The sequence below is a fragment of the Homo sapiens genome, chromosome 1 (assembly GCF_000001405.40).
Source record: "Homo sapiens chromosome 1, GRCh38.p14 Primary Assembly".
NCBI classification, from domain to species: Eukaryota; Metazoa; Chordata; class Mammalia; order Primates; family Hominidae; genus Homo; species Homo sapiens.
The window spans coordinates 227,551,683-227,568,898 of NC_000001.11; the positions used below are offsets into that span (position 1 = coordinate 227,551,683).

The 17,216-nt window shown below is 46.3% G+C and overlaps 1 protein-coding gene and 1 pseudogene across 5 annotated transcripts in view, besides 3 other annotated features; both read left to right on the forward strand.

Annotated features, from left to right (window-relative positions):
• Positions 7,175 to 7,484: an enhancer, noted in NCBI's record as "active region_2677". NCBI's record gives its function as "activates an Ori minimal core promoter by ATAC-STARR-seq in GM12878 lymphoblastoid cells {active_cell/tissue: GM12878}" and the evidence as "EXISTENCE:reporter gene assay evidence [ECO:0000049][PMID:35858748]".
• Positions 7,515 to 7,574: an enhancer, noted in NCBI's record as "active region_2678". NCBI's record gives its function as "activates an Ori minimal core promoter by ATAC-STARR-seq in GM12878 lymphoblastoid cells {active_cell/tissue: GM12878}" and the evidence as "EXISTENCE:reporter gene assay evidence [ECO:0000049][PMID:35858748]".
• RNA5SP77 (RNA, 5S ribosomal pseudogene 77) lies at positions 9,499 to 9,618 on the forward strand (annotated as a pseudogene).
• Positions 11,830 to 12,109: an enhancer, noted in NCBI's record as "active region_2679". NCBI's record gives its function as "activates an Ori minimal core promoter by ATAC-STARR-seq in GM12878 lymphoblastoid cells {active_cell/tissue: GM12878}" and the evidence as "EXISTENCE:reporter gene assay evidence [ECO:0000049][PMID:35858748]".
• The window catches only part of ZNF678 (zinc finger protein 678), a 116,114-nt gene continuing 110,771 nt past the window's right edge, over positions 11,874 to 17,216 (forward strand). For all 5 annotated transcript variants that reach the window (NR_102302.2, NM_001367910.1, NM_178549.4 and 2 more), the window contains exon 1: positions 11,874 to 12,042. Coding sequence is in view for 2 of the 5 variants with exons in the window: in NM_178549.4 (NP_848644.2) it covers positions 12,013 to 12,042 (30 nt within the window). In the remaining 3 variants the exon portion in view is untranslated. The remainder of the gene's footprint in view (positions 12,043 to 17,216) is intronic.

The following is a 17,216-nucleotide window of genomic DNA, read 5'->3' on the forward strand; positions in this document are numbered from 1 at the left end:
GCCATGTTGGTTTGCTGCACCCATTAACTCATCATTTACATTAAGTATTTCTCCTAATGCTATCCCTCTCCCATCCCCCCACCCCACAACAGGCCCCTTCAACCCAGAATTTCATACCCAGCCAAACTAAGCTTCATAATCAAAGGAGAAATAACATCCTTTACAGACAAGCAAATGCTGAGAGATTTTGTCACCACCAGGCCTGCCTTACAAGAGCTCCTGAAGGAAGCACTAAACATGGAAAGAAACAACAGGTACCAGCCGCTGCAAAAACATACCAAATTGTAAAGATCATCATCACTAAGAAGAAACTGCATCAACTAATAGGCAAAATAACCAGCTAGTGTCAAAATGACAGGATCAAATTCACACATAAGAATATTAACCTTAAATGTAAATGGCCTAAATTCCCCAATTAAAAGACACAGACTGGCAGGAGGCTCAAAATAAAGGGATAGAGGAATACTTACCAAGAAAATGGAAAGCAAAAAAAATTAAAAAATAAAAAAAAGTAGGAGTTGCAATTTTAATCTGTGATAAAACAGACTTCAAACCAACAAAGATCAAAAGAGACAAGGCCATCACATAATGGTAAAGGTATCAATGCACCAAGAAGAGCTAACTATCCTGAATATATATGCACCCACTATAGGAGGATTCAGATTAATAAAATAAGTTCTTAGAGACCTAAGAAGAGACTTAGACTCCCACACAATAATAGTGGGAGACTTTAACACCCCACTGTCAATATTACACAGATCAATGAGACAGAAAATTAACAAGGATATTCAGGACTTGAACTCAGCTCTGAACCAAGTGGATCTAATAGACTTCTACAGAACTCTCCACCCCAAATCGACAGAATAAACATTCTTCTCAGCACCTCATCGCACTTGTTCTAAAATTGACCACATGAAGTAAAACACTCCTCAGCAAATACAAAAGAACAGAAATCATAACCAACAGTCTCTCAGACCACAGTGCAATCATATTAGAACTCAGGATTAAGAAACTCACTCAAAACCACCCAACTATCTGGAAACTGAACAACCTGCTCCTGAATGACTACTGGGTAAATAATGAAACAAAGACAGAAATAAAGATGTTCTTTGAAACCAATGAGAATAAAGACACAACATATCAGAATCTCTGGAACACATTTAAAGCAGTGTGTAGAGAGAAATGTATAGCACTAAATGCTTACAAGAGAAAGCAGGAAAGATCTAAAATCGACATCCTAACATCAAAATTCAAAGAACTAAAAAAGCAGAACAAAAAAATTCAAAAGCCAGCAGAAGACAAGAAATAACTAAGATCAGAGCAGAACTGAAGGAGATAGAGACACAAAAAAACCTCAAAAAAATCAATGAATCCAGGAGCTGGTTTTTTTAAAAAGATCAACAAAATAGATAGACCACCATCCAGACTAATAAAGAAGAAAATACTGAAGAATCAAATAGATGCAATAAAAAATGATAAAGGGGATATCACCACTGATCCTACAGAAATACAAGCTACCATCAGATAATATTATAAACACCTCTATGCAAATAAAATAGAAAATCTAGAAGAAATGGGTAAATTCCTGGACACATACACCCTCCCAACTCTAAACCAGGAAGAAGTTGAATCCCTGAATAGACCAATAACAAGTTCTGAAATTGAGGCAGTAATTAATAGCCTACCAAATAAAAAAAGTCCAGGACCAGATGGATTCACAGCCGAATTCTACCAGAGGTACAGTACAAAGAGGAGCTGGTACCATTCCTTCTGAAATTATTCCAAACAACAGAAAAATAGGGAATCCTCTCTACATCATTTTATGAGGCCAGCAGCATTCTGACACCAAAACCTGGCTGAGATACAACGAAAAAAGAAAATTTCAGGCCAATATCCCTGATGACTATCAATGGGAAAACCCTCAGTAAAATATTGGCAAACTGAATCCAGCAGCACATCAAAAAGCTTATCCACCACAATCAAGCTGGCTTCATACCTGGGATGCAAGACTGGTTCAATATACACAAATCAACAAATATAATCCATCATATAAACAGAACCAATGACAAAAACTACATAATTATCTCAATAGATGCAGAAAAGGCCTTCCACAAAGTTCAACACCCCTTCATGCTAAAAACTCTCAATAAACTAGGTATTGATTGAATGTATCTCAAAATAATAAGAGCTATTTATGACAAACCCACAGCCAATATCATACTGAATGAGCAAAAACTGGAAGCATTCCCTTTGAAAACCAGCACAAGACAAAGATGCTGTCTCTTACCACTCCTATTCCACATAGTATTGGAAGTTCTGGCCAGGACAATCAGGCAAGAGAAAGAAATAAAGGGTATTCAAATAGGAAAAGAGGAAGTCAAATTGTCTCTGTTTGCAGATGACATGACTGTATATTTAGAAAACCCCACCATCTCAGCCTAAAATCTCGTTAAGCTGATGAGCAACTTCAGCAAAGTCTCAGGATACAAAATCAATGTGCAAAAATCCCAAGCATTCCTATACATCATTAACAGACAAACAGAGAGCCAAATCACAAGTGAACTCCCAATCGCAATTGCTACAAAGAGAATAAAATACCTAGGAATACAACTTACAAGGGATGTGAAGGACCTCTTCAAGGAGAACTACAAACCACTGCTCAAGGAAATAAGAGAGGACACAAGCAAATGGAGAAACATTCCATGCTCATGGATAGGAAGAATCAGTATCATGAAAATGGCCATACTACCCAAAGTAATTTAAAGATTCAACGCTATCCCCATCAAACTACCATTGACTTTCTTCACAGAATTGGAAAACACTACTTTAGGCTTCATATGGAACCAAAAAAGGGCCTGCATAGCCAAGACAATACTAAGCAAAAAGAACAAAGCTGGAAGCATCATGCTACCTGACTTCAAACTATACTACAAGGCTACAGTAACCAAAACAGCATGGAACTGGCACTAAAACAAATATATAGACCAATGGAACAGAACAGAGGCCTCAGAAATAACGCCACACATCTACAACCATATAATCTTTGACAAACCTGACACAAACAAGCAATGGGGAAAGGATTCTCTATTTAATAAATGGTGTTGGGAAAACTGACTAGCTATACGCAGAAAACTGAAACTGGACTCCTTCCCTACACCTTATACAAAACTTAACTCAAGATGGAATAAGACTTAATCGTAAGACCTAAAATGATAAAAATCCTAGAAGAAAACCCAGGCAATACCATTCAGGACATAGGCATGGGCAAATACTTCATGTCTAAAACACCAAAAGCAATAGCAACAAAAGCCAAAATAGACAAATGGGATCTAATTAAACTAAAGAGCTTCTGCACAGCAAAAGAAACCACCGTCAGAGTGAACAGGCAACCTACAGAATGGGAGAAAATTTTTGCAACCTACTCATCTGACAAAGGGCTAATATCCAGAATCTACAATGAACTCAAACACATTTACAAGAAAAAAACAAATAACCCCATCAAAAAGTGGGCAAAGGATGTGAATAGACACTTCTCAAAAGAAGACATTTATGCAGCCAAAAAACGCATGAAAAAATGCTCATCATCACTGGCCATCAGAGAAATGCAAATCAAAACCACAATGAGATACCATCTCACACCAGTTAGAATGGCGATCATTAAAAAGTCAGGAAACAACAGGTGCTGGAGAGGATGTGGAGAAATAGGAGCACTTTTACACTGTTGGTGGGACTGTAAACTAGTTCAACCATTGTGGAAGTCGGTGTGGCGATTCCTCAGGGATCTAGAACTAGAAATACCATTTGACCCAGCCATCCCATTACTGGGTATATACCCAAAGGATTATAAATCATGCTGCTATAAAGACACATGCACACGTATGTTTATTGCAGCACTATTCACAATAGCAAAGACTTGGAACCAACCCAAATGTCCAACAATGATAGACTGGATTAAGAAAATGTGGCACATATACACCATGGAATACTATGCAGCCATAAAAAATGATGAGTTCATGTCCTCTGTAGGGACATGGATGAAGCTGGAAACCATCATTCTCAGCAAACTGTCCCAAGGACAAAAAAACCAAACACCGCATGTTCTCACTCATAGGTGGGAATTGAACAATGAGAACACATGGACACAGGAAGGGGAACATCACACACCAGGGACTGTTGTGGGGTGGGGGGAGGGATAGCATTAGGAGATATACCTAATGTTAAATGACGAGTTAATGGGTGCAGCACACCAACATGGCGCATGTATACATATGTAACAAACCTGCATGTTGTGCACATGTACCCTAAAACTTAAAGTATAATAATAATAATATAAGAAAGATACTATAGAAATGACTACAAATACATATGCATATCAAGAATAACGCCACTTTGTTCCCCTGGGACCACAGAAAAAGACTGTAGATATTGTATATCACGGCACCCTAGCACACAACAGAGGCCAATTATGCTTACTAAAATGCCTTACTAAATTATGCTTACTAAAATTATGCTTACTAAATGGTAAAACCAGATTGTGAAACAAAAACCTGTACCCCTATAAACTTTACCATTCTAAAGCCAGGCTTACCCACGTGGACTTCAGGTTACCCCATACATGTCTACATAAGAAAGTACCCAGCAACCTACCTATATGTTATCATATACCCTACCTATATGTTATCAAAAAAGGAACCCAGACCCGTCCGGCCCAGCAACAATTCCAGGTCTTTAAGTCATTCTATAAGCATGTAGACCAGAAGTTACCAGGGCCTCCTCCTTTAGCTGAGAAACTGTTTGCTCAGCTGGCTGAAAACACTGCCAGCAGCCTAGGCGTTTCCGCATGTTATGTTTGTGGAGGAACTAACATAGGAGACCAATGGACTTAGAAAGCAAAAGAGTTAATGCCACAAGATAACTTTGACTGACTCTTCCCCCGAACCGATGCCCACAGGTTCAAGCGTCTGGCTCTTAAAAACTTATTTCATCAGGGGATACTGTGTTGCTCGCTGAGGAAAAGCTTTTACAGACCCAGTAGGAGAATTAATATGTTTAGCACTGCAATATTATAATGAAACACTAAGAAAAACTTTCTTGCGAGGTAAAAATAGTTCCAAATTACCTCATCCAAATCCATTCTCCTGTTTCTCTTCTCTAAATCATACCTGGTATCAGCTTGAAGCTCCAAATACCTGGCAGGCACCCTCTGGTCTCTATTGGATTTGTGGGCCACAGGCCTACCAACAGTTACCAGCCAAATGGACAGGGGCTTGTGTACTCAGAACAATTAGGCCATCTTTCTTTTTGCTTCCACTGCAACACAAGGAAACCTTAGGGTATCCTGTCTATGATGAAATTAAAGGAAGAAACGAAAGAAATGTAGACATAAAAAAGACATAAAACAGGAGATTAGAAAGACACAGATTGGCCACCTGAAAGAATAATTCAATACTGTGGACCAGCTACCTGGGCACAAGATAGGTCATGGGGGTACCGCACCCCAATTTACATGCTTAACTGCATCATAAGTTTGCAAGCAGTCCTTGAAATTATCACTAATGAAACAGCAAATGCATTAGACTTATTGGCCCAGCAGACCACAAAAGTTAGAAACTCCATTTATCAAAATAGACTGGCTTTAGATTATCTCCTAGCCCAGGAAGGAGGAGTATGTGCAAAGTTTAATCTAACTAACTGCTGCCTAGAAATCGATGACAATAGAAAAGCTATTATCCAAATAACTGCAAGAATGAGAAAATTAGCCCATGTTCCAGTCCAGACCTGGAAAGGGTGGACTCCTGATTCCATCGTTGGAGGCTGGTTCACCTCTTTTGGTAGACTCAAAACCTTAATAGGAGTAGTTCCAGCCATACTAGGAGGTTGCTTGATACTTCCTTGCCTTTTACCCCTCCTTGTTAAGAGCATTAAATCAACTATAGAGGCAATTGTAGCTAGGCAGACCACCACTCAGCTAATGGCTCTGTGTAAATATCAGCCTGTGCCTAAAAAAGAAAAACTGTTCTTTCAAAAAGAATCAAGTAATAGTGATGCTTTCTATTAAAATCTTGTTTATAAAAGCATCAAATGGGAAAACTGAGGCAGAAATTTGAAAATAATGACAATAAGTACGGCATTCATTCACTCCAAGAAAAGTAACAGACAAGGCTATAAGAAGGTTGTGGTGACCTAGTCTGAGAAGTAAAAGCCAAGGCCCAGAATGTGACAAGGCAAAGCTTAAAAAAAAAAAAAAAAGAACAAGTTTTCTTCTGCCTAGCAAGCTCACTTCAAAGACAGTTATAAGGTAATGCTGTCCCTGAAGTCAAAACCAACGGAATAGGCTCCAGACACCCCTCCTCTGGAGCAAGCGTGAAGGAAAAAAAAAAAAAAGACAAATGTCTGTATTTAGACAGTTCTTGTTTTTTCTTTCGAAGCAGCTACAAAGCCGCAAGTTATATGAAGTCATCAGTTATGCTATAGATTACGTGACCTGTCAATATATGATTTACTGCCTTTGTTTTGCTCTTGTATGCTAGCCTTTATAAACCAAACTCTTGTTTTTGTTCAAAGCTCATTTTTTTGAATGGGAATCCACTGAATCAGTGTGTACCTTAATATAAACATCCTCCTGTTTTCCCATGTAGGTCTCTCTCGTCCTCAGTTTCCCACAACAGAAATACCGGGTGCTGAAGGCTTTTTGGCTTCCTGCTCCCTCCCTGTTTACCCCTTTCATCGCCCTGCTTCCCAACCGCCCCCTGACTCTGCTCCCCATTTTCTGCACGCCTGCGCCCCCGCTGCAGCCCGGGACCTCCTCGTGGGGGTCCACGATTGTAGCACCACCAGGTAGCGGCATCCCACCTCTTCCACCTCGCCGCCGCCACAGCACCAGGAGCCTGGCTTGCTGTGCGGGGAGCGGCGGGCCAGGGCCTGACCTCAAAGACGCAGGGGCGGGTTCCCTGCAGTCCTGAGAGGTTTCCGCTCCCGGAACCTCCAGGTAATTCAATTCACTCATCCGGCGCTGCCTCCACCGTCCAAGCTGGGGGAAGGGGCGGGCAGGGGCAGCGGGCTGCTTTCCCGGGGGGAAGGACATTGCCTTCGCCAGTCACCAGGAAAACCGTAACTGTACACCCGGAATCCCATTGCCAACAACTTCATGTAAACTCCAGTCCCAAGGACACAAGAGAGACCCAGGCCTCAGGCCCCATGGGCACTCTCGGCGTCAGGGCTCTCGCCAGACAGACTGGGGCAGTCTACAAATCTCGGGGCCCACCGCAACAAGTGGACAGGAAGGAGCAAATTAAGGGAAAACCCTACGAAACACACCTCCAACGCAACCAACCAATCCAAGAAAAAACACGTTTCAGGGCTCCATTGGCCCACCCTCGTGGGCGGCCCTGCCGCCCTGTTCTGGCTCAGCTCAAGCACCCTCCACCCTACCCCAGCCTGCTCAAAGGGGCCCTGTGTACTGGAGCAGAACGCTTCCTCTCCAAGGCTCTATGGCTCTCGCTTTCTAGGTTCCTCACCCTCTCTCTTTCTCTTCTTCCCCCTTTACCTCGCGCTCTTTCTGTCACCTTTTCTCTCTCTCTCTCTCTCTCACCCTTCTGTCTTCACCCTCACCCTGCCTCTCTCTCTACTGCTGTCTCTCTCTTCCGCCGTTTCTATCTCTCCATCTCTCATTCTTTGCTCTCCTTCAAGCTGTCTCTGTATGTGTCTTTGTCTGTGTGTCTGTGTGTGTGTTTGCCCACGCGCGTGCACCCTTTGTGGGGGGGGGGGGTGCGGTGGTTTAGCTCGTGGTGGTCATTAGTTGTGCCTGGGTGGGCCTCACCCCCTGTCTCACGGGATCAGACTGCCGGCTTTGGTGCCAGCGCGGGGCAAACAGTGCCCCTCCGCCGGACCCCTTGTTGCCCACAGGCAGGGTCCTCCTCGGGAAAGGCAACGGTGGTGAAGGCTTTGTGAGAAAGAGGGCCCGCGGGGCTGGGTCGGCTTATCGCCCTTGGGCAGCCCTGGCGGCTCTGATTGGGTGGGGCAAGAGGGGGCCTTGCAGGAGGGGCAGCGAGGGATCCAAAACAATCCCTCAGCGCTAAGGCGGACGACCAGAGGGGATCCCAGGACCCAGGACCGTGGGCCCTGGGCCCTGACGCCTCGGAGCACACCCCGTCCTGAGCGGGCCCGATGTGGTTTCGGGAGCTCGGGAGCCGGGGGAAGGCCTGGAGCTTCAGCGGAAGGGAGGCTGCCTGGAGAGCCCAAAGCCTGTTCTGGCCCAGCCCAAGCACCCTCCACCTACCCAGGCCTGCTCAAAGGGGCCCTATCTACCAGAGCAGAGCGCTCCCTCTCCAAAGCTCTATTGCTCTCGCTCTCTAGGTCTCTCACCCTCTCTTTCTCTTCTTCCCCTCCACCTCGCGCTTTTTTTGTCGCCTTTTCTCTCTCTCTCTCTCTTTCTCTCTCTCCTCCCTCACCCTGTCTCTCTCTCTATGGCTTGGAGAGCGCTCTCTCTCCAGGGCTCTATCGCTTTCGCTCTCTAGTTCCCTCACCCTCTCTCTTTCTCTTTTTCCCCCTCCACCTTGCGCTCTTTCTGTCGCCTTCTCTCTCTCTGTCTTTCTCTCTTCCCTCACTATGTTTCTCTATCGCTGTCTCTCTCTCCCTCCGTTTCTATCTCTCCATCCCTCTTGCTCTTGCTCTCCTTCAAGCTGTGTGTGTGTGTGTGTGTGTGTGTGGCCGCAAGCTTGCGCCCCTGTGTGAATGGGTGGTTTTGCTCATGGTGGTCGTGAGTTGTGTCTGGGTGTGCCTCAGCCCCTCTCTCCCAGGATCAGGCTGCCGGCTTTGGTGCCAGCGCGGGGCAAAGCAGAACCCACCCGGCCCCCTTGTTGCCCACGGGCTGGGTCCTCGTCGGGACAGGGGACAGGGTTGAAGGCGTTTTGAGAAAGAGGGCCCGCAGGACTGGGTCGGCTGATCGCCCTTGGCCAGCCCTAGAGGCTCTGGGTGGGTGGGGCAAGAGGGGACCTTGCAGAGGGATCCAAAACAATCCCTCACTGCTAAGACAGAAGACCGGCGGGGATACCAGGACCGTGGGCCCTGGGCCCTGACGTCTCGGAGCACACCCGGTCCTGAGCGGGCCCGATGTAGTGGAAGCTCGGGAGCTCGGGAGCTGGGGAAAGGCCTGGAGCTTCGGCGGAAGGGAGGCCACCTCGAGAGCCCGAAGCCTGTGCAGGAGACAGAGGCCTCTGGCGCCCACGCCCGGCAGCAGGGCGGCGCTGTGGCTGTCCCACGCTTGGCCTGGCCACCAGCTACTGCGGGAGGCTCTGGGAGGCCAGCGGAAGGCGCAGCGCGCGGTGGACGGTGCTCGGGCGTAGAGGGGGAGAGCGGCCGGTAGAGGGGGAGAGCAGACCAGCCCGGCCGCCGGCGAGCAGCTCAGGGGTACTTGATCCGAGCCCCGTGGACCCGGGGTTGCCGGGATGCCTGGAGTCGGGCGCGCAAGACTGAGCGGAGCTCTTAGGGCTGCCAGGCGTCTATGGCCATACCACCCTGAACGCGTCCAATCTCGTCTGATCTCTCGAGGCTAAGTAGGGTCAGGCCTGGTTAGTACTTAACTGGGAGACCGCCTGGGAATAACGGGTGCTGTAGGCTTTTTGGTTTCCCGGTCCCTCCCACTTTCCTCCTTTTATCGCGATGCCTCCCAACCGCACCCTGACTCTGCTCCTCCTTTTCCGCCCGCCTGCGCCCTCGCGGTACCCTGGGACCTCCTCGTGGGGCGTCCGCCACTGCAGCACCGCCAGTTAGCAGCTTCCCAGCTCTTCCGCCTGGCAGCCACCCCATCAGTAGCCCAGCTCGCTGCCCGGGGCGGGGCGGGGAGGGCCGGGCCGGGGCCAACCTCGAAGGCTCAGGGGCGGGTTCCCTGCCGTCCAGGGTGTCTTCCCTCTCCCGGGACGCCCAGGGAATTTAATTCACTCATCCAGCGCCGCTGGCACTGTCCAAGCCGGGGGAAGGGGCGGGCAGGGGAAGCGGGCCCCACAAGACACCAGCCAAGACCTCCGCTCCAGAACGCATGGGCTACTTTCCCCAGGGGAAGGACATTGCCTTCTCCAGCCACCAGGAAAACCGTCCCTGTGCACTCGGAATCCCATTGCCACCAACTTCGTATAAACTCCATTCCGGAGGACACGAGACAGACCCAGGCCTCTGCCCCGTGGGCATGCTCGGTGCCACAGCTCTCGCTAGAGGGACGGTTGCACTCTACAAATCTCGGGGCCCACCGCACCAAGAGGACAGGGAGGAGCCAACAAAGGAAAAGTCCTATGAAACGCACCACCAAAGCAACCAATCCAACAAAAAATACGTCTCAGGGCTCTGTTGGGTCACTCCGTTAGCCCTTCCACCCTGTTCTGGCCCAGCCCAAGCACCCTCCACCCTACCCTGTCCTGCTCAAAGGGGCCCTGTCTACCGGAGCAGAACACTCCCTCTCCAAGGCTCTATGGCTCTGTAAGTCCCTCATCCTCTCTCTTCTTCTTCCCCCTCCACCTCGTGCTCTTTCTGTAGCCTTCTCTCTCTCTCTCTCTCTCTCAATCCTGACTCACTCTGCCTCTCTATCACTGTCTTTCTCTCCCTCCGTTTCTATGTCTCCATCCCTCTCTCTTGCTCTCCTTCAAGCTGCCTGTGTCTGTGTCTTTGTCTGTGTGTCTGTGTGTGGGTGTATGTTTGCAGGAGGGGCAGCGAGGTGTGTCTGGGTGCGTCTCAGCCCCTCTCTCCCGGGATCCAGGGTGTGTGTGTTGGGGGGAAGCTGTGGAAAGGGTGTTGAAGGAAAGTGACAATCAGCTTCCTGAAGGGCACTGACAGGCCATTATTCCTGTGGCTTGGCAAATTTTCTGTTTGAACTTATTTCTTGTTAAGGGTCCAAGTGTACTGACTATGGAGATAAGAAAAGAATAGCTCTAAGTAGCTGAAGCTCTGTGAGGTACGGAAGATTTTTCTGGCCCAGAGAGACTTGAGTATGGGATTTGAGACACATCTCCACACCCTTTCCCAGGGGCAATTGTTTAAAGGTATGTTGTTCCTAACTAGCTGTCTCATCTGGAATTTGTGATACAAAGAACAATGTATAGCCAGTCAGTGACTTCTGGATTTTAATGTAAATTTTTGATGAAAATTTTAGGAACTGCCTCTTTTCTTAAAACCCACTTGTAATGGTTACTAGTTGGAATGTATAATCAGGGCAACTTTAGTCTATGCTCTCAGGTAGGTATCCTAAACATATGCTTTTGAATATACTTTTGAAAATAGATTCTGACTTTTTTATTATGATGGGTTGACAGGGGACTGGCCTGGGACACCTGCCTGGGTGTAAATACCCCAACCATGCGCTGCCCTGCCCAGCAGAAGAGGCGGGTGGACAGCAGGCCCCCTTTGGTCAGAAACACATGCATTGCATAGCTGTTCTGGACCTGGGTCCTGCTTGCAAGGACAGTTCCACAGGCGCACCGGAATGCGCCTCCCCTTTCCACCCGCCAGCATTCCCAAGCACGCCTCGGCTTCTGACTGTTCTGTGCTTTGGGAGGAAAACTCATCTTCAGGTTTTTCTCCAACAGAAGATGATGATGACGTTGTTTAGACACTCAGGAACAGAGATTGCAGATTGGCTTAAGAGTGCGCCCTTTATTAAAGATGGTATGCATGGAAAGACATGGAACAATTTTGGAAGGATACAAAAAAAATTGCCCATTTTGTTAATAGTCTCATTCAACCCCTTTGCTGACCTCATCTCCTGTCACTCATAACCAAAGGAGGCGGGTCCTGGAGCCCTGTCCAATCAGGGACATTGACGTGGGAACTGTCCAATCAGGAGCGCAGCTTGAGAGGCGGAGGGGGTTTCCGGGATCTGGCGGGGCCTTTGTCTTGTGCTCCAGCTGGAGCTTTGGTCCCGTATTCTCGGCTATTTATCCCCAGCTGCGGGAGGCCCTGGTGACTCTGCTGCTGCAGTGTCTGGTTTCCCTGTGACCTGCAGGTACTGGGAGTTACATAGCTAAGATGCCAGGACACCCCGAAAGCCGGAAAACGGTGAGAGTTCCCGGGAGGGTGTTCCAAGATGGCGGTCCGGCCTCCCGGCGTCAGCACTAGAGTCCGCGGCCCGGAGTCCCGGCTGGCACCTGTGGGATCTGTCACCTCTGGGTAGGGGCGGGGCCAGGCCGCCGCGGGATTCTCCTCCCATCACTGCGCCGCGGCTTCCGCCCCGGCCTCTCTGGGCGGCTATGAAGCCGCAGCCCCGCGGGTCCCCCAGACTGTGTGCTTTGTCCAGAGGGGAGGGTCATCGGGGAGAAGCCAAATCGGTGTGCGAAACATGCGTGGGAAGAGCTGTTCCATGGGGCTTATCTTAGCTGTGCAGTCCATCCTTTTTCCTGTGAAAAATGGAGTCACTTTTAAAGCTTTGAAGAGTTTGAGGAAAGGGAGTTTCATGAATGGGAGAGCGCCCAGCTATGGTGTGTGGCTTGTGGGTTTATGGAGGAGGTGCTTGAAGGAAAAACTTTTTTGTAAGGTGCATGAGGAAGCAAGCCAAATTTAATAATTGACGACAGTTACAGTCACCTTATTTGGACTGTCCAGGTGGAAATTTCCTGGTTATTTAATTACTGATTAATTGGAGTTTTGTGATTGGTTGAACTTGGATTTTGTTTCTACTTAAGGCAGTCATTAACAAGAAATGCATTTGAGCTATTAATATTCTTTTTCATGTAGAAACGCAAGACACTAGAGCCACCTCAGTCTAATTGCCTGCTAATTATTTTAACACTGCACAAGAGACTGCTTTTCCCCTGCATTTTCCAAATAACATGGAAAGCAGGGTCTTAAATCCACTCCTCTGTTCTCCCAGCCTGACTCTGGCCTGCAATAAAATACTAAATTTTCAGTTTCTTTCCAAAATTCATAAAAACCACCATCACCTCTTCAGTTCACAACACTGTCAGCTATTTGTCTTTTATTGCGTACTCCAGGCACAATATTTTAATTAATCATTTTTTCACAGAACATTGGAGGGCACTCTTTGTTGTTGCTGTTGTTGTTTTGTTTGTTTTTGTTTTTTCTTTAAGAAGGAGTCTCGCTCTGTAGCCCAGGCTGTAGTGCAGTGGCGCGATCTTGGCTCACTGCAACCTCTGCCTCCCGGGTTCAAGCGATTCTCCTGCCTCAGCCTCCTGAGTAGCTGGGATTACAGACCCGCGCCACCACCCCCGGCTAATTTTTGTATTTTTAGTATTTTGTATTTTAGTTTCACCATGTTGGTCAGGCTGGTCTCCAACTCCTGACCTCGTGATCCCCCGCCTTGGCCTCCCAAAGTGCTGGGATTACAGGCGTGAGCCACCACGCCTGGCCTGTTGTTTTTTCCCTACCCGGCTTTTTTTTTTTTTTTTTTTTTTTTTTGGTTGAGTTGGAGTCTCGCTCTGTTGCCAGGCTGGAGTGCAGTGGCGTGATCTCGGCTCACTGCAGCCTCCGCCTCCTGGGTTCAAGCGATTCTCCTGCCTCAGCATCCCAAGTAGCTGGGACTACAGGCGTGCGCCACTACACCTGGCTAATTTTTGTATTTATAGTAGAGACGGGGTTTCACCATGTTGGCCAGGATTGTCTTGATCTCTTGACCTCGTGATCTACCCGCCTCTCCCTCCCAAAGCGTTGGGATTACAGGGGCGAGCCACCACGCCTGACTTGTTGTTTTTAAGAGGATCTTGCTCTGTCATCCAGGCTGCTGGAATGCAGTGACATTGTCATAGCTCACTGAAGCCTCCAACTCCTGGACTCAAGTGATTTTTCTGCCTCAGCCTCCTGAGTGGCTAGGCTTAAATGTGTGTGCTGCCATGCCCAGCTAATTCTTTTTATTTTATTTTTTTGTAGAGATTGGGTTTCGCTAGTTACCCATGTTTGTGGAACTCTTTAAAGATTTGTTATCTGTTTGTGAAGGCAGAGAATAACCTCTTGGCACTCTATTGTAAAGAAATATTTGTGCCACTCTGCTTTTTATCTTTCCTAGGCACAGACGCCTTGTACAAAATCTTTGAAAACTTTGGAAACTTTACAGCTGGTTGTATCCTCAGCCACTCTTTTTTATTTTTATTTATTTTTTGAGACGGAGTCTCGCTCTGTCGCCCAGGCTGGAGCGCAGTGGCCTGATCTTGGCTCACTGCAAGCTCCGCCTCCCGTGTTCACGCCATTCTGCCTCAGCCTCCCGAGTAGCTGGGACTGCAGGAGCCCGCCACCATGCCCGGCTAGCTAATTTTTTTGTATTTTTAGTAGAGACGGGGTTTCACCGTGTTGGCCAGGATGGTCTTGATCTCCTGACCTCGTGATCCGCCCACCTCAGCCTCCCAAAGTGCTGGGATTACAGGCGTGAGCCACCGCGCCCGGCTCCTCAGCCACTCTTATCCTAGTCCTGAATTTCAGAATTGTCTGGGAATGGCCCAAGATGCCCACAGTGGCTATGTCTCTTGGAGTATCTAGTGAATTTTGGTTCCTGGGTTTTTTCCTCCCAGAGGACAGCCTATGGCATGGAGATGGAGCCTCTCAGTGAAGCAGCTGGATGTCCTGGGGCTGAGAGAAGTCTTCTGGTACACCCTTCACCTAAAAAGCTAACCCCTTAGACATTCTCCCCCAACCCCCAATTTCATTGCCTGGAGACACATCAGTGGTGTTGGGAAAAGACAGAAATAATTCCTGCCCTCTGGATTCTCAGACTTGTGAAGGGAGAAAAACTAGTCCAAAGGACAAGCAATAACTACTCCAGTGAGCTGGTGCGAGAACATGCAAAGCAAAACATCCCTGGGGCACACCGTGAGGCACAGTGCAGTGTCTCCAGACAGAATGGTCAGTGAGCACTTCAGTGAGCAGAATGAGGGGTGGGAGAATGTCCCAAATTATAGGATAGCCTGACTTGACGCTTGAGTCGGATGTGTCTGTGTTCCAGGTAGTACTGCTTCTCCCTGAGTTTGTCACCTTAAAAAGATTTGTTCACTTATTTCATCATCAGTTTTTTATTAAGTATATATTACACTTTATCAGTAGAGCTTGAAAGGTTAGAAAATATTTACAAAGGGTATGAACGTGGTGAATTCTAGGAAAAAAATATGTAGTCATATACTTCATTTGTTAAAAAACTCATTTACCTTTTTCTTCATCAGAGTGAGTGTAGTAAGTTTCTTAGTTCTGTTCTATTTTAAGGGTGATTTCAAACAGAATCTCAGGGCTTAAGTTTGGGAATTCTATCGGGGAGAAAAATAGGAAACGTCTCTTTTTCATTATGCCTATAGGAAACTCACTTTCACAAGACAGTATGGTAGATTAATTGGTAAATTATATAGATTCATGAAACATCAGTTCCTCTTTTTTACAGGGTGGATAATTTGTGACATTAAATGTTCTGTATTTAATTATCTGGACATCCAAATTCAATGCTAAGTTTTAGGAGATGGGACATGGCTCCTCTTAGAAGGGTTCACATTTAGTAAGTGTTTCCTAAATGATCTGTTATAGAAATATTTAATTGACGTTTTTGTTATCTGAAAGGAATAGACACTTTTGCCTTTCCTTTTGAAATATAAAATGTAAGTGTCTTACAATTTTATTCCCTTTTATAAACACTGTCTTTGAGTGATTTTGCTGAATTCTTCAAACTGGGCATTTTCTCATTTAAAACTAAATGAATAGCCCTGACTGGAAAGTAGAAGTCTGAGCCCAGTGACTCTAAGTTAAGGCCAATCTTGAGCCTGCAAAAGAAGGTCATTGAAGGCCCGGTTCTTCCTGAGGAGCCTCCTCTGCAGGTGTCCCAGCCTGCTCACACAAGCACGGAAGAGCCCTTTACATTGAGAGAAGCTACGGATCTCCTGGAAAGTGGGAGATCCATAGGCAGATGCAAATGTAGTTGGGTTGGAAGACGGGTTCAGAAGCTCTTTCTGAGGATAAATTTCATTGTCCTGGGCTGTTTCTAGACTTTGTCAAATAAAGCTAATTTATATTTACATAAAAAGTTACTTAATTCTTTTTTTTTTGATTTTTTATTTTTATTTTTTTATTTTTTTTCCTCCAGAATTTTTCTTTATTTTCCATTGTAGTTTGGGTGATTTTTTTAAAATTATTATTATACTTTAAGTTTTAGGGTACATGTGCACAATGTGCAGGTTAGTTACATATGTATACATGAAAAGTTACTTAATTCTAAAGGAATATTGCAACGGGAAAAATACCAACTATATCTGCAGTCATCTGAAATGTTAGGCAGAAAAGGGCTTTATTTAAAGAGGAACACACAAAACTAGAAAGAATGTGGGAAGGGGAGGACAGGATGAAAGGTGCCAAAATTAGATCCTAGATCAGAGAATGTTTCACCCTGAGGTCAGCCTGTGTTTAGGAGGGGCATAAAGAGGAATTATTTGTTGGCTCAGGCTGAGTGTGTGTCAAAGTTCAGGGGCCTGTTGGAAAGAGAGAAGCTAACCCATTTATGCCTAGTGTTCCATTATTGGAGCACTAAGCTTGTGGGAGTTATTTATACTTCCTACTGCTAGATGACCCTACTGCTCAGGGTCATCACCATGGTCTGATTTTTCACACACAAAAAAATTTGCCACCTCCAGCATAAATGGGTTAAGTGGTGGTTGGTGAACAAGTACTTTTTTTTTTTACCACTAAAGAGAATTGTTCAGGTGATTGTTTATGAGACAAAAATGGGAATTTGCAATCCGTGTCTGGCTTTGTAATAGGTTAAAAAAAAAGGGAGCATCATCTAAGTCAAAATGAGAAGAGTGTTTCTTTTCATTCAGCTGTTCTTTGAGAACATAAAGGATGGGGAATTTCTTCAATCACATGCATTTACCAGGATTGCCTACGCACCCAATCTTCTCCTGCCACTTTCCTTTGCTGTATACAGATCTTTCATTTGGCTGTTTTGAGATGTACTTTCATGACAAACTGGTACATGTTTTGCTGAGTTCTGTGAGGAGTTCTGTCAAATTATTGAACTTGAGTATGCGGTTATGGGAGTCCCAGAGTTACAGGCAGTCACTCAAGAAGTATAGGTGGGTCCCTGGTGCATGTGACTGGCCTTTGAAGTGTGGGCAGTGATGTGGGACTGAGGCCTGGCCTTGCAAGGTCTGTGCAAACTGAGTGGTGTCAGTATTGAATTATTGAGCAACCAGTGGTGTTGGAGAACTGGTTGGTGATCAGGAAACTCCACACATCTGGTGTCAGAAGTTTTG